Source organism: Homo sapiens, chromosome 12 (genome assembly GCF_000001405.40).
Source record: "Homo sapiens chromosome 12, GRCh38.p14 Primary Assembly".
NCBI lineage: Eukaryota > Metazoa > Chordata > Mammalia > Primates > Hominidae > Homo > Homo sapiens.
Window position 1 is genome coordinate 5,197,800 of NC_000012.12, and position 22,623 is coordinate 5,220,422.

Here is a 22,623-nt window from a genome sequence, read left to right on the forward strand (position 1 = left end):
ACTGCCCCATGCAAGGAATCTACTTGCAGGACCCCTTGGAATTGTCAGAGTCTCTTCCAGCAAAGTCTTATCCCTCCCTCTAGGCAGAAGAGACTGCCTGAGCAAGGGAAGATGCAAGAAAGCACATGCTACAGGAATGTGAGTCTTACTGCAGGCAAATAGCATGGGAACCCCCAAACAGCAGGCTCTGAGGCTTGTCTTCTGCTTCCTAAGGGGCAGGCTCCCCATCTCCAGACCCCGCTCCTCCCACCCTTCACTGTCAGGGTTACCCTCAGGATAGCGTCCCCTCTGATTTGTATTTGCTTGGTTCCGCCATGCACGATGCACTTCCTTGATTTTGACAACAGAGGCTTTGACTCATTCTAGCCTTGTGCGTGTGCACATGCATGCATAAGCTGAGGAGACATATACACATTTCATTGGCATACCTTTTATGATGTTGTCACCAAGCCATATTGTCTCCAGTTGTCAGCTCCAACATCTCTGTTATGAAAAGCACACGTGGTAAGGCTGCCCTTCTATTTCGTACATTACTTATTCTTCAATGGGCCAGAATGGGGAATCTTGACTTCTTAACTTTCTCAACCACAAACCCTGAAGTCTGCATATATTTACTAGGCGCTGTGACAAGAGCATTCAAGGAGGTTTTTTCCAGGGATGGAGATCAAGTGGCTTCCATTAATATCTATCATCTTCTCACAGCATCTCAAAGCTGCTGAAGAGAGACCTGTTGTAGGATGTGTACTCAGAGTCCTCCCTGAGACTGCCTGTTGTGGGAAGGACTTCGCCAGGACCACGACACAAGTTTGTGACTTTTTCAATCAGGAAGCAGCTATGGATGATTCTAGTGAGTGACTTAATATTGCTGCTTTCAATGGGACCCTTGGCTTGCTAGTTGTATCGCTGTGTAGAGGAGAGCTGAATGCTATCCAAGCGGGGGCCCCTCCAGCTAGGTGGAGGTTATATTAGCTCAAAGCAACTACAAAGATAGAACATTCAGGAGCTTGCTAGTAATCGCCTATGGCTGAACTCCCAAGTTTGGGGTCAACACTGGCTACGATGGACTCATTTTCTGGTTATCATGATCCAGTGAAAAATTCATTCCTTCCTTTAACAATTGAAGATTGGAGAAAGTCGGATCAAAAAAGGCAGTGCAAAGAGGTGTAGACTGCTTCCAGGAATGTGTCAACCAATTCCTTTATCTAACAGACTTTTCTGTGCTTACCAAGAAAAGAGGATCTCACTTTACCCCCATCCACACCCTAACTGGTGTAGGTCTCACTGTCCACACCAGAGCATCAGGCCTGAGGACTAGCCCCATTGCTCACAGTTATGAAACAATTATATTCTCCAGATGATTCTTGGGGGAAAATGCCAAGAGAAAAGAAATGGGGGGAAGGAGAATTTCTTAGGCAAGAATCTCGAATTTAAAAACTCCACATAAGATGTCTCCAATTTTCATAACTCCAAAAAGAAAATTTCAAGGAATTTAGATTATTTTGTCTGAATAACAGAAGGCCTGGGGGTAGAAGGATTAGAACTGAATCATGATCTTCAAGACTACAAAATACCTTTGTTCCCAAATAATGGTCTTCTTTGGCAATGAAGGCTGAACATTCAGGAGGCTGGGGGCTGGAAGATTAGGAGGCATGCAGTATTTTGGTAGGAAGTCATATATTTGGTTTCTCTGTTAAGTTCGTGAAAGAAAATGAATGAATCTCTACAGTGGAAATGACTGGGTTGGGACCAAGTGAGCTGCACGGCTCCTATCTGCCCTGTGACTCTGATATTTTCCATATGTGCCTCGATGGACAGACAGGTAATCAGGCCATTACAACAGTGGTGGGGAGTAATGGTAGCTCCTGCCCATGCCTGTGAGAGGCCCTCAGCCAGCTACAGGTATGGGAGATTTGGAGGAGAATGGTTCCCTTGGAGTACTCAGTAAGATGCAGCAGAGAGCATGGGGAAGAGCAGGGGAAGCCACAGATGTGCAATCAAGGGGACAAGAGAGCATCTCCCTTCCTCAAGAATATTCTTGCAGCTCCACGTGGCAGGGCCTGGGGAAATGAAGGCAGTGGAGAGACAAGAGGCTGGACAGTGAGCTGGTCCTGGTGGCGCAGGACTGGAGCCCACTCTGAAGCCACTAGCTCTATTCTAGGGACGGTGGGAAACCCCCTAAGAGCAAACTCAAATAAACCTGGGCCTGCGCATGACCTCCCACACCCAGCAGGGAATTCTGGTCACTCTTCCCACCTGGTTAGAACTTAGGAGCTGGGTGGGTGGCTGGGGGAGGATGCAAGGTCTGATTTTTGCCGTACAGCACCCAGAAAACTCTCTTACAGTCCTCTGAAGACCTTTTCTCCCCAAATTCCACTCATTCTGAAGGGCTGAGTATCTGCTGTGTCATAATTTCCCTGTCACAGAAGAGTTGTAAGTAGAGAATGAGATTTACATTCTAAGGACTATTCTGATGTCAGTCCTGAAAGGGGCCAAAGGGAACTGTCAGAAACAAATGAGGAATTAGAAGGACATAGAACACCGTTCCCTATGGGTAAGAGATTCCGGATCATGGCAGCAGAAAGAATTATTTTTTTCTGATATGAAAAATGAAGACACTGAAGCCCAGAGAAGGCAATGACTAGCTAGACTTTCACTGCTTGTGTTGGCCCAGTATGTGGGAGTGAGGGTGTGGAGCAAGGGAGACAGAAGCTCATTGGCTAGAGTGACCCCACGGCATCCTTTGCATTGGACAGAAATATAATTCCTGTTAAAAAAAAAAAAAGTGGTTTTTTTTTTTTCCTTTAGATTCTGGGGTCTGCGTTAAACCCCAGAACAATTTACCTTGTTCTTCCCAGAAGCCTTGTTCAGCAAGAGGAGGGAGGCCGAAGGCGCTGACCACTAGAGGGGGCGCTGCCTCCACCTGGCACAGACCACGGGGTCGGGGGCGGGGAGGAGGACAGCCACTAGGTGAAAGGCAGGGTCGCAATGGGTTGCACTGAAGTGTTGCTCTATCAAAGGCTTTCTGAACACAAGACATAACAAACCTTAAACTCTGTGTTTATGCCCAGGGATGGGAAGGGGACGTGGGAAAGAAAGACAATATGGAAACTCAGATACCTCTGGAAGAACTGCAAGTAAAGGCAGGGTGCTCCTCAGAGGTTCCTCAGAATCCCCAGTGCTTGTTTTGGACAGGAAACGCTGAAGGAAGAGCATGCAGTTAATCTTTTGATGAAGCGTTTTAGAACAAGTGCATTCAGATCAGATCTGATGTAGAGCCAGCTCTGCAGGACAGCTCCCTGTGTCCTGACAGGGGATGCTGGTTATCCTTTATCCACCGGGTTAGAGCGTAGTAGCTAAGCAGAACGTTCTGAAGGTTGTACCTTTTCCCGCTCTGCATAGCTGAGTGTGAGCAGGGAGAGACCATGTTCAGAGATGTCGCTAGAGGCTTGCTGGTAGGAGGAGGAATGGCAGCAGGGGTGAGTTCCGGCTGGTGCTCCCTGCTCCATTGTGGGGTATTGTGGGCTCTGTGGGGTCACAAGGTCTCACTCCTGGCTGGACTCACTCCTGGGAGGTGGCTGAGCTGATGCAGTGGTGTTCAGGATGGCAGCTGCTACCTTGCCTGGTCTCTTAGCCAGGTTATTAGTAGACTGCTAGCCTCTGTTTACCAGGAAGCAAAAGTGTCCCTCTTATTCCTGAGACTACTTCTAAGTTACATCTCAATGAAAAAATAACAAGAAACAAAATAAATGGGTCTCACTCCCACTGCAAACTACCCTCACCACAAACTATCCCCACTCTTAATTAGAGAGAAAATATGGTGGGGGCATAGGAACTGGAGTCCCATTATGCCTCCGCTCGGTGCTCACATGGCGATGCATGCCTCCCGTCTCTGGATTTCGGAGGCTCCCTGCACACAGCCAGGGTGTCTGAGGGAGTTCAGGGTCCTCTTGCTGCAACACAGAGCCCGTGGGATTGCTTTTGTGCGTCACAGGGAAAAGAGCCCTTCCTGTTGACAGACCCAGCCGTCCTGCCCATGATGAATTGCATCTCTACGAGGGGACTGCTGTTGTGGTTTTCCCTTCTCTCGGAAGGTTCATCCCCAGGTCTCGTGGCACTTTAGAAAATGAACTGCTATAATTCCACGCTGAGCGCACAGCCCTCCACAACCAGGCCTCTTCACTCTAATATGGCTGCTGGTTTTGTCACTCAGGAGGCCAGCAGCTGGTAGCCTTGGTGGCTCCTCCCCATCAAGGGAGGCGCAGAAGCAAGGGAGGCGTTCCTGCTGGCTGCCTCTTAAAGAAGGACTGCGGATGCTGATATTCCAGGGAGCCAGGAGGAACTGCAAGCCCGAGGGAGTGTGGAGGGGGGCGGAGCCTGCTGCAGTCACAGAGGGACACAGCAAGACCTAGGTCTGCTCCTGGAGCAGTACTTCCTCACTGGGTGCCTGAACTCAATGCTATTTATTTTAGTTTTGGTGATCCAATATCTCCAACTTTCTAGAACAGTTTGTCTCTGCCTCTCTCAAACCCACCAGATCATCCCCTGCTCTGAAAATAGAAAAAGATGGTCCCTATGGCTGTAGGAGATTCATAATTTATCACTTCATGCTAATTCAATTTTATAACCATACATATGGTTTTCAGGTTATCTATGGCTGTGTGAAAACTTTAAAACTTAATGGATTTAAAACTATAGCCAGTCTTTATGAGTCCTTTGTGGGTGAAGACATTGAGCAGGAATTGGCTGGTCAATTGTTCTGCTCCATGTGGCATTGGCTGGGGTCATTCAGTGGCGTTCAGCTGGCAGCTGGACTGGCCTGGAGCATCTGACGGCTTCACTCATTCACCTGGGGCCTTGGTGGGACAGCTGGACTGCTGGGCTCACCTGGTCCTTCTGCCTCTCTTTGAGCCCCAAAGTGTCTCTCTAGCAGTGTAGTTGGATCTTTCACAGGGCAGCTCAGGGCCTGAAGACCAAGGCAGGACCTGCCAGTCCCCAAAGTAGCATAGCATCACTTCCACCACGCTCTACTGGTCAAAGTAGCCACAGGCCACCTCAACTCAGAGAAGGGGAAATAGAGGCCATTGCTCAATAGCAGGAGTGTCCTATAATTTGAAGCCATCTTTAATCTGCCACCAAAGTCCATTTATTGATGGAAATGATTTATCTCTATAGACAAGGGGTGTTCTTTTTCTTCCAGGCACACTCCTAACACTCCTAACAGAAAACTTTTCTTCAGTCCTGATGCGTGGGGGCCAATTCATCAGGAAGTTTTCCAAACCGTTTGAGGAGGTGTGGGTTATGCAGTGATCAGGGTATACACAAAACAAAACAACATTGCCTTTAATACACATCAGAATTGACAGTAATTCTTCTATGTTTTTCCCCTACCTGGGTCATCCAGATGACCTTATCTCAGGTTACAAGTTGAATTTGGTAATAATAAATGGTTGCTTTGTATATCTAGTATGTAGAATTAATTCCGCTTTGTAGAGTTCCATATGGCCTGGCCACTGACCCAAGAGGATCATACTTTTTCAAAGACAGGATTCTCTAGTTTTCCTTTTAACTCTCTCAGTGAATGTTGACTGAGCATACACTACATGATGGTTATGGTGTGTGATTTTCTTTACACACACTTATTCTGTTATCTTTCAGGGCTTTGAGTGACCTTTGGTTCCCTGTAGGTAAACCCAGGATATCAGTGCAGATAGAGAACATACCAGGGCAGAACCCTAGGCCCTAGACTGTAGGAACTGTTTGGCAAAAATGTGAATCTCAGCAGCTGAACTACCCTGGCAGATGGCAAGAGGAGATTCTGTCTCATAATTCAAGCACCAGAAAGTACTACTCTTTAGACCAGATGCACCTAGAGAAAGTTTCTGACAGGTGTACCTTGCTTGCCGTGGAAATGCAGAAGGCTCTTCTCTCGCAGGTTTGGGAATGTCTCCTTGAGGGCATTTGGGCTGGTTTCAAGCTGTCGCGTGACATGGCCCATGGGTATCCTTGGCAGTTCCATTCTAAGTACTTCCAAAGTTCTCTGACAAGGCTAAAAACTCCTCATTCAACCAAAGATTCTTGCACATTATTTAAATAGGATGCAAATGCATGGTCTGCTCTGAGCCCTGGCAGCTTTCAATTTTTATATTTTCAGAACGGTGAGGCCTGCCATCAGTTCACTTGAAGTTCAGTCCAAGATGTGCCTGTCCCTGACATTTGTTCATTCTTTATGAAGGTAACATTTTGAAGAATTTAAAAAGAAATCATCTTTGTACTCCATTCCCTACCACCCTCCAAAACAAATTTTAAAAAATATCAGACATTTGTTGCATGCATAATAGCTGGAACGTGACTAACTTCTTTCCCACTGCCTGAATTTCCAAGTTGGATTCTATAATCCCTCTCTTTGGCAATTCCTGGTCTATTTCGTTTCTGATATTTCAGTGATAGGAACTGCCTCTTTGACCCAAGGGATTAGGCTCATAAGAGCATGAGCAGATTCTGTCAGATGGTTGAGCCTGGCTGCTGTTAGGATGAATGGCAGGGGATCAAGCCCGCCAGTGACAATGCAGAGAGTGAGTGCAGAGGGAGGGATGATTCTTCCCTTTGTGCTCCTTCCCTCCTGTCACAGTGTGAGTCTTGAGCCCATTCACTCACAAGCTGAGCACACAGCTTAGAACTGACAGAAGTCCCACCTTCTTTGCACCTGGGATCTGTGGGGAAGGGAGGCCTGCATGAAAGACAAAACCACAGGCCGAGGAGCAGAGAAAGAATGGACTCAGGGAAGTACTGTGTGGGTGGCATTTCCTCTCCGCAGGCTGCAGGTGCCTCTCAGGCTCTTCCAATTCAGCGTGTGTGTGTGTGTGTGTGTGTGTGTGTGTGTATGTGTATACAGAAAAAGCATATATATATCTATATGACTGTATATATACATAAATATATATATATATATGCTCTCTCTATACATACTGTGTGTGTTTATGTAGATATATACACATACATACACTTTCCATATTATGGCTAGTCCAGAGAGAAAGAAAAGAGAAAGGGATAAGGAAAATAAAGAAGCGAGAAAGGAAAGAAAAAGAAGGAAAAAGTATATAGAAAATGTGGTGTGGCATACTGGTAACTGTTCCTCCAAAGCTCCAACGTCTCTTTGCCCTTTCTTCCTGGACATGCATCCATCCCACTGGAAACTACATTTCCCAGCCTTTCCGGTGGTGAGGCAGGGCCTTGTGACTCCACTCTCACCAATGGAGGTGAGTGGAATTGACATGTGCAGTTCCAGCTTTGCCTACCCAAATCAAAAGCAGTGCCTTTGGAGTCTCTCCTCGGGCTCCTTGTGTTCTGGAATGCTGACTGTGTTAGCTCAGCTTGGACCACCAAGAAGTATGAAAGGAAAGAAACCTGGGTCCCTGAGTGAGCTTGTGGAGCAGAAGAGTTGCTCTGCTAGCCAAGACTGGCACTAGACTGCTCCGTGAGACAGAAAGAAACCATCATATTTAAGTTAATTGTATTTTAGTATCTCTTTATTGTAGCACAGAGGGCTATGATCTGTAAAGAAGGGAAGAGGAAGAGGAAAAACTGAGCACTTATGAAAAGGAATTTTAATGTAGTGACACATAGTTTAGTGTCTGTGGATGACACTAAGAAAACAGAGAGAATAAGAGAAAATGAGCTGGTAACATGGAGGACAATTGATGAGAGGGCAGCTGCTGGAGGGTGCTGGGGAAATATTGAGACTGCTGCCCACTTCTCCCAGGCCTTACCTGACGACCATGCCATCTCCTACAGTGCTTTTAGGTTATTAGATCTTCCGTGTTTACCTGAATGTCTCAAAAGGATGAAGATGACCAAGTTAGAGGCATAGGTGTTGGTAAAGTAACAGTGTGATAATCGATTGTAATAATTCTCCAGTGGAATAGGTGGCTTACAAAGCAACAAACGCCCATCTCTGAGTGTGCTCAAGAGAGGTTGCACGACCACTTCTTGTGGATGATCCCTATGTTGACCGGGCAGGCAGAGGTTGCAGTGAGCTGAAATCACGCCACTGCACTCCAGCCTGGCAACAGAGTGAGACTCCACCTCAAAAAATAAAAAGAATAATTTCTAAAGTTGTATCCAACTTGAATAATCTCCAGAACGTTTGAGTCAGGAAAGTTAAGTAACTTCTTTTCTTTCTTTTTTTTTTTTTTTTTTTGAGACGGAGTCTCGCTCTGTCACCCAGGCTGGAGTGCAGTGGCGCGATCTCAGCTCACTGCAAGCTCCGCCTCCCGGGTTCACGCCATTCTCCTGCCTCAGCCTCTTGAGTAGCTGGGACTACAGGCGCCCACCACCACACCCGGCTAATTTTTTGTATTTTTAGTTGAGACGGGGTTTCACCGTGTCAGCCAGGATGGTCTCGATCTCCTGACCTCGTGATCTGCGGCCTCCCAAAGTGCTGGGATTACAGGCGTGACCCAGAAAGTTGAGTAACTTCTTAAAGGCTATGTGAATTATTTTCATTTCACATCACTATTCACTTGAGCAGTGAGATTTACACACTTATCAGCTCTTACGCTTGCTCTTTAAACATCCCCAGTAACTGGCTGCAACTTTCTTTTTTCCCCATGTAAATCATAAGCTCATCATGAGCTGTGTTTTCCCTATACACTGTACCAAAATACTAGTTTCATGGTTTTGCATTCAGTGGCAACCTCAGATGTGCTACCTGACAGGGTAAGGCCAGCTGCCTAAGCCTATGCAGTATGCTTTTAGACTTGCTGGGAGGTCCGCAGTCATGAAAATATATTTCTCACCAACAGAATCACAGATACCTGAAATTCAGCCACCAGCATTCATTCCTTTGTATTACCCAAGGTTCTTTCTGAGCAGCTCTTTCTGAAAACACAATTGCCCATTGACAGGGCATAACATTCAATGCATATATGGGAAAGGGGGAATGTTTAAAGAGGAGGTTGACAGTGGAGAAAAAAATCTCTATCTGTGGCTCTTGATCCCATAGCCATCTTTGTGTCCGTTGCTGATATAGGAGAAACACAAGGCAGCCCCTCTGTGGTCTTTATTTTCTTCACCCCATGACTTCCAAGCACATTCATCTCCCAGACCAGTACATGATGAAGAGCTGATGGGAATGTGTGGCCAAGAGAGCCAGCTGGCTGCTTGGCTTGGCCAGACCTCCCTTTCCTTACCTAGAGCTGCTCTGGGCCCTGGATCCCCACACATAATCTTTTACCTCTCGGTGTTCGACCAGTTGGCCAGGCCGGTGCTCCTCGTTCCTTTTATGCACAGGTCATCTGAGGAGAAAGGGGACTCAGGACAGGTAGTTTTTTGGGGGGGAGGAAAGGGGGGGTTTCTTGGATATGAAACAAGAGACTGTCTGGAAGTTCAGTCATTGATGGAGGACCTGAATCACTTGCGATAGCAGAAGGTCACCTGGCAATTGACAGAGGGTGAGGGTGGGAGGCTGCAGGGAAAATAAAAGAGGAGAAAGATGGTAAGCAATTCATTGGGATGTGCCTCAATATGGATACTAGGATTCAAACTTAGAAATGTCTATTTATACATTTTTAGGGCACTTTTGACTTTCTGTCATGATATCCTTGAGTCTTCAAAGCTGGAAGTTTCCTGACATGAGAGGAGGATTTGGTTTTATTCTCAGCCTCTCCAGATAATACAAAACTTTGATTTTATATTAGGCTGTCACCTACCTTGTGCAGAGAAATAGGCAAGAAATACATTCCTGTTAAAAAAATAAAAAGAAGATTATAGCTTGCTTAGAGAAGAAGGGAAGAGAGGAGAAGATGAGGAATCACAGCAGAATCCTGCATCTAAAGTGGGCGGAGGGTTGGGAGTTGCGGCGAAGAGGCTGACAAAAAAAAAAATAGAAAGAAAGAAAAAGAAGAAATAAAGAGCCTGATCCTTCTCAGGATCTAGGCTGACAATTCACAGTCCTAATGCACCTTAAGGGTTAATGTGCAAATCTGGGTGTTGTACTGAAGAGGCTGAATTGAATGCATGGGACTCTCACGAGCTTGGTTCTGAAACTTGGCTCACTGGGGTCGGCTTATTACTGAGAAGGTGTTGAGAAGCCTGACAGAACATCTGCCTGATAATTTTTAAGTCCATGCTTAAACTTTCGATCACCCAGTTGACTATGAACTCCTTGAGGGAGAAAATGGAGGACATGTCTGTTTATTTTGTCCTCAGTGCTTAGCTTGATATCTTGAACATGGTAGAAGCTCAAGGCAGGGCGAGTGCTACTTACCAAATATTTGCTCTTAGCTGCCCACGTTTCCCAGCCTCCATGTTGTTAGGTGGTGCCATGTGACTCATCCGATCGACCAGCTGGGGAGCAGAAGGGATGAGTGTCACTTCTAGGTTGAAGCCTAACAGAGCTGATGAGAGACCCTCCACCACCAGCTCTTCCCTTGCACACCAGAAGGTCGTGTGCTCCAGGCCTGCAAAGTTGTGAGATGGGGTATGGAGTGTTGCCCTCCCACTAACTCATGCTGGAAATGTAGCCTAAGTGACAAATAAGCATTTGTTGTTCTGAATGTTTGCCACTTTGGAGTTATTTGTTACTGCAGGATAATTTAAATGATCTTGACCGCTAGAGTATTCAATAGATTTTGTTCAAAAATGAATGAATGAATGAATGAATGAATGAATGAATGAATGAATAAATGAATGAATGGGCTAAGCTGATAAATGTAGAGCAACTGATAGGATTTCCTATTTGGAAACCCCACAGCTTTTTACCCTTTTTTTTCCCATCAAGGTCTTAGTTCTTTGGGAATTAACACCATTCTGTCTTCCCTAACAATACCATGAGGTCTTTTGGGGAAGGAGGTAAATGTTGGACATAATAAATTACACCAAACCCTATTGAACATCAATCATGTTTTAGACACTGCATTAGAACTGGAAACACAAAAGTGGATAAAACATGCCCTTGGAGGATTCCCAATCTAGAAGGGGAGGTGGATCAATAGCCAATTCATTACAATAAGTACTATGCCAGCTGTCCAGACCAGACAGCTGCACTACCAACAGCAGAGAGAGCCTAATTCAGGCTGGGAACTTTAGGCCGAGAGGGTTGCATATGGCAAGGCACAGAGATAAGAAAGAGCAGGGCATGTTCAAGAAACTGAAAATGGTTTTAGAGAACAGGCTACAGGAGAGAGATGGCAAAAAGGGTTCTAAAAGCTTGAGCAGAGGCCAGGTCGTGAAGACCCGTTGTGCCTCATTGTGGAATTGGGCCCGCATTGGGTAGATATGTCTTGTAAGGTATGTGGAGAGCATGGTGTCCCCACTAGTCAGAACTCTTATAAAACCATTAGGTTGGGTGTGCTGCCCCACACCTGTAATCCCAACACTTTGGGAGGCAGAGGCAGGTGGATCACTTGGGGCCAAGAGTTTGAGACCAGCCTGGGGTACACAGTGAGACCCTGTCTCTATAAAAACATGTAGAACAGTTAGCCAGGCATGGTGGCATGCATCTGTGGTCCCAGCTACTCCAGACACTGAGGCAGGAGGATCACTTGAGCTGGGGAGGTCGAGGCTGTAGTGAGTTATGATGGTGCCACTGCACTCCAGTCTGTGGTGACAGAGTGAGACCTGTTCTCTGAATAAATAAATAACTAAAATCATTTAACCTCTGTGTGTTGGTGACAGAGAGCTATTGAGATATTTGACTCAGGGGAGTAGCATGCTGGAATTTTCACCTCAGAAAGCTCATGTGGATAGTGGTGTGGAGCATGGATTGAGGTAGAGAGAGAGCGGAGGCAGCCCCAGTCAGCAGGAGGTCATGTGGCCTCACCAAGTGATGATGATGCTCTTTGGACCCAGCTGCCTGAGGTTTGGAGCCTTCCACCCCCATCATGGCAATCTGTCTTGAGCTTACCTCCCCTAACAAACATACTGATTTAGCATGAGCCAAATCAGTATCCCATCTGCCTCTGGGTCCCAGCACCCTTTGGGAAGCTCCTTGGCATTTCTCTAGGAGGCTGGCAGAGGTCTTCCCTGGGGCCTTGGATGGTCTCAACATCCCTAGACTGCCTGCTTCATACCAGACACTTGAAGGAGCTCTTAATATATCCTGGTATTTTTCCAAACTCTTTCTTTCCCTGCTTCTATTCTCTATGCTCAAGATAAAACACACAACCATCTTAATAGACAGCAAAATTTCACTTCTGATGTAGTTTGAATTGAATTGTTTTGCAAGTCTTTTACAAAGGGTTTTGAACGCATAGGGCAATTGGTACTACATACGTTTATGTAGTATTTTCTTGTTTGTTTTATATCAGGGTAAAAGTGAATTTCTGTGACAAATTGGGTAGCTTTCCATCTTTTCTCTATTTTTACTGCATAGTAAAATAATAAATTCCAGATGGATTAAATAATTAAATCGTTGCATTTCTCAGATAAACTCATTGAACTGGATTCTTCTTTTAACTTACTGCATGCCTGAATTAGACTCATGAGAAAGTCAGAGGATTCTCTCCTGGACAGATACATTTTTGGGGGGATGTGTTTTGGAGGGGTATAAGAAGAAGTGAACAAAGGTATGACGTAATGTGCACAGCTTCAGTGGGTACTTCGGGGGCAGGTAATAACATTAGAGGTGACAAAACAGAACCTCTCTCTATGTGTGCACATTTGTGCCCATCCAGCATGGTTCAGCGATGCTAGAGATGGATTCAGCCTGCTTCACAGATTTACCTCTAGAAGAAAAACCCAAAATGAGAAGAAAAAAAAAAAAAACCTGCCTTTATCCCATGTCTTTGATCAGCCTTAGGGCTGGGGCTAGGTCAGGCCTGAGAATGCTTCCGCCTCCTTCTCCTTCCCTAAAGATGGCAATGTGACAGGCTCCAGAGTTCAGTTTGGCAAAACCCCTCCTTCCCAGCATCATGCCCTGACAACCTGGCTCTGTCCTCCAGCCATTGCCATGGAGAGACATAGATCAGGCCCTTTGGAGAGGGAGGGTTTGCAGCCAAGGCATTTATGCCCCCCGGGGCTCCCTTCTGTCATCCCTCCTGCTCTGCACGGCAACAGCACTGCTCCGCGCCCACTGCCTGTGGGCATGGCCTCCCTAATTTGACATTGGGGGCTCCTCGCATCGGTTTTCATGGGGGGTTGAGGCTGGCAGCAGGTAGTGTCCAGGAGGATGCTGATGCTGGAAGGCTGGAGACATGTAGGAGATGGGGTGTCACTTGCAGTCTCTGCAAGAAGCCCAGTCAGCAGGTCTATGGCTCGCCAACAGCAGCCACGTGTGAGAACCAGCAGAAAGGCGGAAGGTGGGTTGGCAAGAACCGAGGGGGCAGCTTACAGATAAAAACCACTGCCATCGGGGAGCCTTGTACATTGTACAAAGCACTTTTCCATTTGTCATCTAACAACCCTGGGAGGCAGGCAAGCGAGGCAGACATAATTAATCTCACTGTACAGATGATGAAATGGAGGCTCAAAAGAAATCCCAGCTGAATAGGAGGTAGAGCTGGGAGTTGAACCCTGATCTTCTGACTCAAATTTTCATGCTCCATTGTGCTAAGCTCCTGCCCCTTTTCTTTCTATTCTTTCCCAAGTAGCCTACTTCTTTCTTGAAATCCACATTCCCCCACGTGAGAAAGTCCAGGCTCTTCTCTTCTCTGACCCTCCCTTTTCTTGTACATACCTTTTCCCAGTATGATCAGAAAATTATTCATACTAAAATGTGTATGGTTTTGCAGTGCTGTTCCAATCAGAAATATTTACATTGTAACTAGTAAAGAAAAAGCCTTACATGAAAAGAATGAAATACTAATGAGAAAGCTTTAAGCATTAGAAAGCATAATTTCGGGCCGGGCAATTGCTCACGCCTATAATCCCAGCACTTTGCAAAGCCAAGGTGGGTGGATCGCTTGAATAGGAGTTTGAGAACAGCCTAGATAATATGGCAAAACCCCATATCTACAAAAAATACAAAAATTAGCCAGGTGTGGTAGTGTGTGCCTACAGTCCCAGCTACTAGGGAGGTTGAGGTGGGAGGATCACTTGAGCCTGGGAAGTGGAGGCTGCAGTAAATGGTGAGGGTGCCACTGTACTCTAGCCTGGGCACCACAGTGAGACCCTGTCAAAAAGAGAGAAGGAAGGAAGGAAGGAAGGAAGGAAAGAAGGAAGGAAAGAAAGAAAGAGGAAAGAAAGAGAGAAAGGGAGAAAGGGAGAAAGGGGGAAGGAAAGAAGGAAGGAAGGAAAGAAAGAGAAAGAAAGAAAGAGAGAGAGAGAGAAAGGAAGGAAGGAAGGAAGGAAGGAAAGAAGGAAGGAAAGAAAGAAAGGAAGGAAGAAAGAAAGAAAGAGGAAAGAAAGAGAGAAAGGGAGAAAGGGGGAAGGAAAGAAGGAAGGAAGGAAAGAGAAAGAAAGAAAGAGAGAGAGAGAGAGAGAAAGGAAGGAAGGAAGGAAGGAAGAAAGAGAGAGAGAGAAAGAAAGAAAGAAAGAGCTTTTGAGGGAACGGGGTCTTATGGTTCCTCCCCGACCAGGCCCAGGTTAATTGCTTCTCAGGCTGACCCAGAGCTACTCTCCATCTTCATCAGGGATCAGACAAGGGGTAGAGCCAGAAAGTTAGGACAGAAAGAAAAGAAAGGTCCCATTGCTGCACAGTCAAGCTTGCCAAGATATTAGGAGTTTGCTCTACAGCTCCCGGGGCACTTCCGGAAGCTTCATTTGAGGCCTGACTAGAGAAGTCCAGTCCAGGAGCACAGTGTGCTCCACTCTGCTCTCTGCCCTGTCTTCTTACCTCAAAAACCAAGGTTCAGAGAGCCTCCCCAGAAGCCGAGTCCGACTAGGGGGAGTGGCTCATCGCCAGAGCTGAGCCTAGATCTGCATGGCATGGCCATTTCTACTCCAGCTCGGGCCCTTCATGCACCACTGTGCCCACAGTTATCTGGCCTCAGAGACTGGGGATGCTGAGCCAAAGGAATTGCAGAGGGCATGCTGGCTTTGGGATCGATTCCTTACCCTGGGTGGTGATGGTGAAGGATATACTGGCAGAACTTTGCTTGGAAGACAACTGTGACCTGCTTCTTTGAAAGCTATCCCCTCTGTGTGTGTGCCATGTTTGTAAATGTGCTAATTTCAATGCCTCAGCAAAAGGTCCTGAGCATGCAACAGAAGAATAAACATGAAAAGGTCTCCCTGAGTGGTCATTCTGTTGGTGAGGGGCTGCCTCTGGTTCCTGCCAGGCTTGTGGGCTGTCCTGCCTGGACTGTGTCCTGTTCTGTAGAAGAAGGGGAGGGAGCAGCAAGATACCAAATATATATTCTGGGCAACAACTTGCAAATGGTTTAATGTTTTCCAAATGCAGGGCTGCTGCGGAGGGCCTGTGTTTTATGACATGAGGCTATTTATTATAGGTTTGTGATACGGGCCAATCATTTCCTGCTCCAAAATAACAACGTGGGCTTGACCCAGGCACCCAGAACTGAAGCCAGAAAAAGAGTAAACAAAACCTTGTTGGGACGGCCAGCAGAGGGCTTGGGATAGATATTTAGGGGTCCTCCAGGGCTTTGTCAATTCTCCAGTTTTTATTCTTCTCAAAACTTCACCCACTTCATCTTCATTTGACCTCAGACTCTTAGATCTTGCACCCATTTGAAAGAATAAACAGTTAATCAACCTGAAAAGAACAAAACATTATCTTCTTCCATTATCCTGATGCCAAGTCTGCAGATGTGAGTATGAACACAGTTGTGTCTGTAGCTGAGCTGAGCTCCTGGCATAGATATCGCCTTGGCTGTACATTCTAGTTCCTGCAGGGAATTCTACTCTTTAGGTAAAAATAGCTTTCTAAGAAAAAGGTTAAAGGTAAGTGTAACTTGCAACCCATGGTCTTCCGTAGTCTATAATACCCTATGGTACATTTTGCTTAGACATATAGTCAGGACAAAATTTTTATTTTATTTCAATGTACAGATGAGGAAACTGAGGCTCAGAGAGAGAGAGACGAAGCGGACTGTTCCTAATCATACAGCCAGCAGGAGCCCAGCCTCGGTCTCTCTGATACCAAATCCCACAAACCATTTATTCCCTAGGGATTAATCTTTTCTTCTAATATGTTGCGGGGGCAGGGACAGGAACAAATTTGCTGTAGGATATAGAGAATTAAGAGGAGAAGAGAAAATAAACCTGAGTTAGGAGGAGGACTCTAAAACTGGGGTCTGGAGAGCAGCTTGCACTACAAGAGGCAGAATGAGAGGTGAGTGATCCAGGACACACAAGCATCAGTTGCAGAGTTTCTTGGGGCTGGTCTAGATCATTTGACATTAATACTGGGCATGGGTATAAGTGTCCCTTTTTTGCTTGTTTGTTCTTAAACAAAAGTAATGTGCAATGTTGACATAGGAGAGCCCAGGGTCGTGAGTCAGGAAGCCTGAGTTTGGTTGTGGACTCTGCCAACAGCCTGCCGTATGACCTTGAGTAAGTTAACAAGGGATCTCCATTACCTGGACTGGAGTGGGAAGGTCAGAAATAATCTGTGAGGCTGGAGCCCTCAGACTGTCTGTGGATCTCTGCTCCTGGCTGAGAGAAGAGGCCTTGGGGACAGGCATGGGCTCATAACTTCTACAGGGGAGAGAGAAAAACAGTCACGGGGCTCCCCTGGTCACTTTGATGCACAAGTCCTGGGCTTGGCGGAGACAACCGGAGAGCTGTAAATAGCCCCGTGGGTCTCGAGGGATCAGCGGGGACTCCTCCACAGGATCTCTAAATTGAGCAGCTGTGGGAGGTGCAGACTCGCGCCCTGCTGGCAGGATGAGGGTCACCGGGGCTGAAGGCTGGGAAAGGCCCCGTGTCATCGATTGGGAAGATCATAATCTCATGCATTTGTCTACTGCCTTCTTATGATCCCTTCTCCTTTGATCCCACACATCCGCATCCTCGGAGGGCAGGGGGCTAGTGGCGTTCTATTTTCTTGTGGAGTGATGGCCTGGAAAATATAATGTACGGGAGATGTAATGGTGACCCACCGACCTGGCCGGGATGCCTTGCTTCCCCTTCCTCCCACACCTACACACACGTGCACACGTTGAGAGAGACTGAGTCAAGAGAGTGTACTCTCATTCCTCCTGGGCTTCACTTGGTTCTCAGATGGGATATCTGTAGTAGCATTCAGCCTCGTATTCACCTTCACCTCTTACAATGCAGTTGAGAAGGAAGGTAGGCGTGCTGTAAGACTTGGTGACAATTGCAAGTAGAGGTTGACAAACACTCTGCTTACCTGGCTCTGGACAGTAGAGGAAACCCCAAATGTGGTTTAGTCATGTTTAGCACTTTGGGGGAGTTTGCCAAGGGCTGAAGGAAGCCGAACTGCTCTTTCCCACCTTTCTTCTTGTTTATTCCTCCTCCTCAGCAGAGACTGCTCCCCCACCCCCAAACATCACACAGTCCATTTTCTGCAGCGCCTTAACTTTTTGGTTCAACATGACCCTCACGACCCTCTTTCATCTCCTCTGGACAACCTCAACCTAGAAGAAAACAGTTTACATGGACAGCCTGCTCATCCCCAGAACGAGGTGCCAGTCATCACTCGCTATGTTTGCTGTAGTATTTCTCTGGAGGAGGAATAGTGCCAGAAGTGCTCCATGAAGGGTAGGGTGTGGGTTGAGGAAGCTGGCAACTCCCGGATATCAATGTATGAATGCTAAACATGGCCTGGAAGTAAAATCAGATGAAGAAAATCATATGTATAAAGTACTTTACACTGCAAGGAATAATTTTCTGAGCTCTGGGGGTAAGGGTTAGAACCCCAGGGAAACGTGCTCCAGCAATAATCGCTTCCTAGGGAGGGTTTATCCAGTTCCCAATGTTTGTTTACTTTGTTCTTTCTCAGCCTTCTTGCTCATCCTCCCTAAAACTTTCAACAAGAAGCCAAGGAACATAACCAAAATCTCAGGGCAAACTGCACCTTTGCTCATCAAGTGTCTCTTGCCAGACACCAGCCTCATTAATGATTCTGGGGCAATTAGTACCAACCAACACAAGCAGTGTGGAGTGGACCAGATCTGCCACAGACTCTGCCCCCCATCTTGCAAAGCTCTGGCTTGGCTGACTGGGCAGCAAGTTTGGGGCTGGAACAGGATAGCTCAGGGCTCAAGAGGAGGGCAGACGTGCCACTGGGGTACTTCATTCTCTGCTATTCCCTTCACAGCACACAGCTACTCCTTGGAGAGCAGGGTGAACACACGAAGAGCAGTTTTGTGAAGGGCACCTGTGATTAGCCTGCCCAGGGACATGGCCCACCAGGTCCACGTGGCCTTGACTGGGGTGGACAGAAAGCTCAGCATGTGGACAATTGCCCGAGTCCTCAGAGATTCTCTGGAAGCCACAGAGGGGAAAACAGCTTCTGAGTCACTGGTCTCCAGGCCAGGTCTGGAACCCAGCAGAGAATAGTTATTTCTCAGTTAAAGTGTCATAAAATTTCTTCATCCCCAGGTATTTCCCAACCAGGAAGGGGTCATAGGAGTGATACAACCAACTGGCCTGGAGCCCCATGATAGCGACCACTGTCCTCCATGGTTGTGCTGTGTATCTCCAGAGCCATATATCAGAAACACATGCCAAGCCAGGTGTCTGCAAAAGAGGCAGAAATGCAGAGTCAAAGAAACGGGAGTGTCAGGCTCTTGGAACAAGGGTGAGATGTTTCTATATTTTACATCCCTTTAGGGTAGCATCAACCCAGGAAGTCTTCTTAGAAGAGTGGCTCTTCACTTAAGGATTGAGCAGAACGATATGTATGCCATGAGCAGTGCATGGTGCGGGTGGGATCCAGGGGATGGGGTGTGAGGGAGAAGCTCAATGATGGGAAAACAAAGAGGTGGTAGCAGGGAGGTCCAGGCTTAGGGCCATGTGGAGAGGGCTGTGTTCTCAGGGCTGCTGGCTCAGGGTGGAATCTGTGAGCAGAGATGTTGAGCATGTGTTCCAGGATAAAAGAAGGAACATCAGAGTGCTTCTCTTTCAAAGTGGGGTCCCTAAACATGGATGAGACTTTCACTCCATTTGGCTGAATAGAAGGCGAGATCATCACACCAGCCACAATATTCAAAGCTCTCCCCTAGACCAGGCCTGTAGTCTTTCCTGGACCATCCAGTTGGCTTCCTTTGCTCCCACCTCGCTGAAGTGGAGAGAACATTTCTCATTGCAAATCTCCTAGACCTGAAGGTCATTTTGAACTCAGTCCAGGTCCTGTTCTTCATGTGAACCTAAGCAGAAGTCTAAAGGCATCTTTGACCAGAATCAGGTTCCTCTGATCCTCCCCACTGCCCTCCAGTTCTTCCCACATTGATGGGGTTGACCAGCTGGCTTCATGTAAGCAATGAGTGCTAGTCATTGAGAGGGGACAGTCCTCCTGCTGCCTATCCCCACACCTGACAGCTGGGCAGACTAAGTGGCACAATCAGGCCCTCCTCCCACATATAGTCTCTTGGAGAGACCCCATCGTGTCACTCTGGTTCCCCAGCCTGTTCATGGCACCCTCGAGGCTCTCAGACCTTGTTAGGACATTTGGATTTTCACCTTGGATTATAAATTCAAGAATATGCTATAAGTTTGGCTATTAGGGACTGCTCTCTTTGTATCTTTATAATCTTACCCAGATTTCTAAACAGTTTGCAAAAGACTTCTCTAACACACCTTGGAAAGTCCCCCTCTGTGGTTGGGGAGGACAGGTCCTTTGAGAACCTTGAGTGCCTTGTTGATGCCACAAAATGTGTCACCTGAGACTCAGACACAGGAGTCCCAGCTCTCTAGCCTGACCTCCATCTACTAGAGCTCAGATCTCCACTGAAAGAAGTAGAACCAAACTGAGAATGATGGCAAGTGTTTGGAGTATTCACAGGACCGCGAATCAAGAGATTATCATCTTGTTGCTTGAGCTCAGTCAGCAGATTCTTAAGCATAAAATCCAGTTTTCCTGTCTGCATGGGAGCAGACAAATCTCTCATTTCTTTAGGGAAGTGAGAGAGAGAGAAGTGTCCAGATAAGCAGGCAAAAGAGTAGAGAGATTCCTTCCCAATGTTCCTTTTACCCTTCCTCGGCCTTTCTTGTTCATTTTCTCTAGAACTGTCCACAAGAAGCTAAGGCATATGGCCAAAATCTCGCGGCAACTTTTATCTTTGCTCATCAAGGGTCTCCTGCCAGACACCAGGCTCATGATTTTTGGACAACTGGTACCAACCAAACCAAATGATGAAATGTGGACCAGTCCTGGCAAAAGGCAGACTTTGTCCCCTGCCTTGCTCATCGTCTCTGCTGATCTAGGAGTGCTGTCCAGCCTTGGAAGTGTGTCTTTGCCAACTACCCAGCATGAGCGATCTCAGCTCCACCCCCCCTTTTCTCCTCGCACCTTTCCACAACCCCTGGCCCTGTCAGGCATGCTGGGCAGTCGCAAGAGTTGCCAAATGGACTTGGCTTTGAGCCGCCAATACCTCCTGATGCAGATGAGATGAAATTCTCAAAAGCACTGAACTCAGGAGAGAAACAAGGCTGCTATCCTTTCGTAGTTTCAGCATACCCCAAAGTGGGCTTATTGAATTCTAACCTCACAAGATGTTTACAAAATAAACTCTATGTTAAACAACACTGGGTCCTCTACCCATGAATGACTCATTTAGCAACATAGGCAAACCCAACCTAGTAGGCTTCTTCAGGTAGGATGTGTAAATGTTGATGACTAAGTTCCCTTGATAGTATTACTGGTGGGTACTGGGGATGGGCTGATGACTTCTGAGCAAGCCAAAATGAATTAGCAGTCTTGTGATGGCTGGGCCTAAGATAGTTTTCCAAAACTGCTGCTCTTCCATGCTTGTGGGAGCGGGATGGGGGAAAAGAGCAGCATAGATAAATAAGTCTGTGAATACTCAACCATCCAGATAATGTGACTGATAGATTTTTGGTCTATCAGTGCACTAGCTGTTGAAGGAGAGGATCTGTTGGGCCTTTGGGTTAACACATTCCTGCTGAAAGTTCTAGTGAAGTCTGCAAAGCTTGAATAATGGCTAGAAAGACTGTAGGAAAAGAGAATCTTCTTACACTCTGTCTCCTTCTCAACTTCAGAGAGCATCAGTGAACTCATTTAAAAGGATAAGAATCAATTTTTTAAAAAACTACTGATACAGGCAACGAATATGAGTTAATCTCAGAAACATTATATTAAAGAACAGGAACCAGACACACAAAGTACAGATGATATGATTTCTTTTATATGAAGTTTAAGAACAGACAAAACTAATACACGGTGACAGAAATCGGAATAGTGGTTGTCTTTGAGGGACAGGGATTGTCTGGGAGGTGGCAGGAGGAAACTTTCTGGAGTGATGGAAAGTTCTTTATTTTGGTCTGGGTGGTAGTTACACAAGTGCATTGAGATGGGTACTTCAAATTTGCACATTTAAAAATATGTAATTATACCTGGATAAATTACTGTTACCATGAAAATGAAAAAAGAGGATGGGATCAGGAAATACAGTGGAAGGTCTGTTAGCCAATCTCCACTTGAAGCACAGTCCCCTCCTAATGCTTGGTGAGGGCTGCCATGTCCACTGTGTGCTCCAGCCTGGAGGGTGGGCTGCTTCTTCGACCCCTGCATACACTTGCTGCCTCCACCTAGGAGATATGTCTACCAAGAGCCAGTTGTGTTTGCTATCATGCATGTTTATGTGTTTGTGCTTGTTTTCAAGTTTAATTTAATTATATTTAAAACTACTTACATCAAATACATGTTTAAAGAGAATCAGTTTTGTAAAAGCCACGTTTAATGCTCTGGAATGTCTCAGTAAAGGTGAATTACTACAAAGAGTTATAGTCACTTAGATGTGGGACGGAAATAAAAGTAATAAAAATCAAAGTTTCTGGATTGAGATTCTTCAGCCATGTAAGTTCTTGCTCTACTTTAAAGAAACTGAAAGTGGAAACTGTCAAGGATGCATTAAGAGTATGGTTTATGCAAAAAGCAAGAGAGATTGGAATACTCATCTTCAGATCCATATTTCCAGGCCTGTGGCCTTGGCCCTACATATAAAGTTTTACAAGAAATACACATTTATGTTTTGAGTTAGAATAAAATATTTATCATAGTTGTGTTCTGTATTTATTGATTCTCCACTTGAGCCAGCCATCCAAGTTACCTACCTAGCCACGGAGAAGAAATAAGGAGGCTTCTACTCCCACTAAGAAGTAGAGATTCAAGAAAATTGCAAAGGTACAACTTTCCTAAATGCCAGACATTCATATATCCTCTGCACATTCAGAGAACAGGCTAATGAATCAATCACATGCATTAATCTATGTGAACAAGACCGCCCTGTAGCACTTCATAAATCTTATTTCTATTTAGTGTTTAAATGTGATGCCTACACATAGCTCAGCATGTTTGCACTGCATGTCTTGTATTGTTCCGTGTGATGCCCTGTCTGCCTCCTTCCTTGTGATTCCAGTGTGCCGGGCATGGCAGGAGACAGGGATCAAGTGGAGGCATCTGGCACTCACTTAGTTCTTATCAGTGGGCAGCCTGCTTAGAAGTTGGGAGGGGCATACACTAGTGACACACATTTGTTATTTTGAAAAAAGGAATTTATTCCCATTGTACTATTAGTACTA

The 22,623-nt window shown here is 46.2% G+C and overlaps 2 long non-coding RNA genes across 3 annotated transcripts in view; one reads left to right on the plus strand and one right to left on the minus strand.

Moving 5' to 3' along the window:
• LOC105369617 (uncharacterized) overlaps positions 1-22,623 on the plus strand; it is a 257,798-nt gene that overhangs the window by 75,853 nt on the left and 159,322 nt on the right. The window lies entirely within an intron of this gene.
• LOC105369616 (uncharacterized) lies at positions 357-12,755 on the minus strand. Its single transcript, XR_931575.4, has 3 exons — positions 3,867-12,755; positions 3,118-3,198; positions 357-483 (listed from the first exon to the last, which is right to left on the minus strand). It is a non-coding gene; the product is annotated as an uncharacterized LOC105369616 (long non-coding RNA).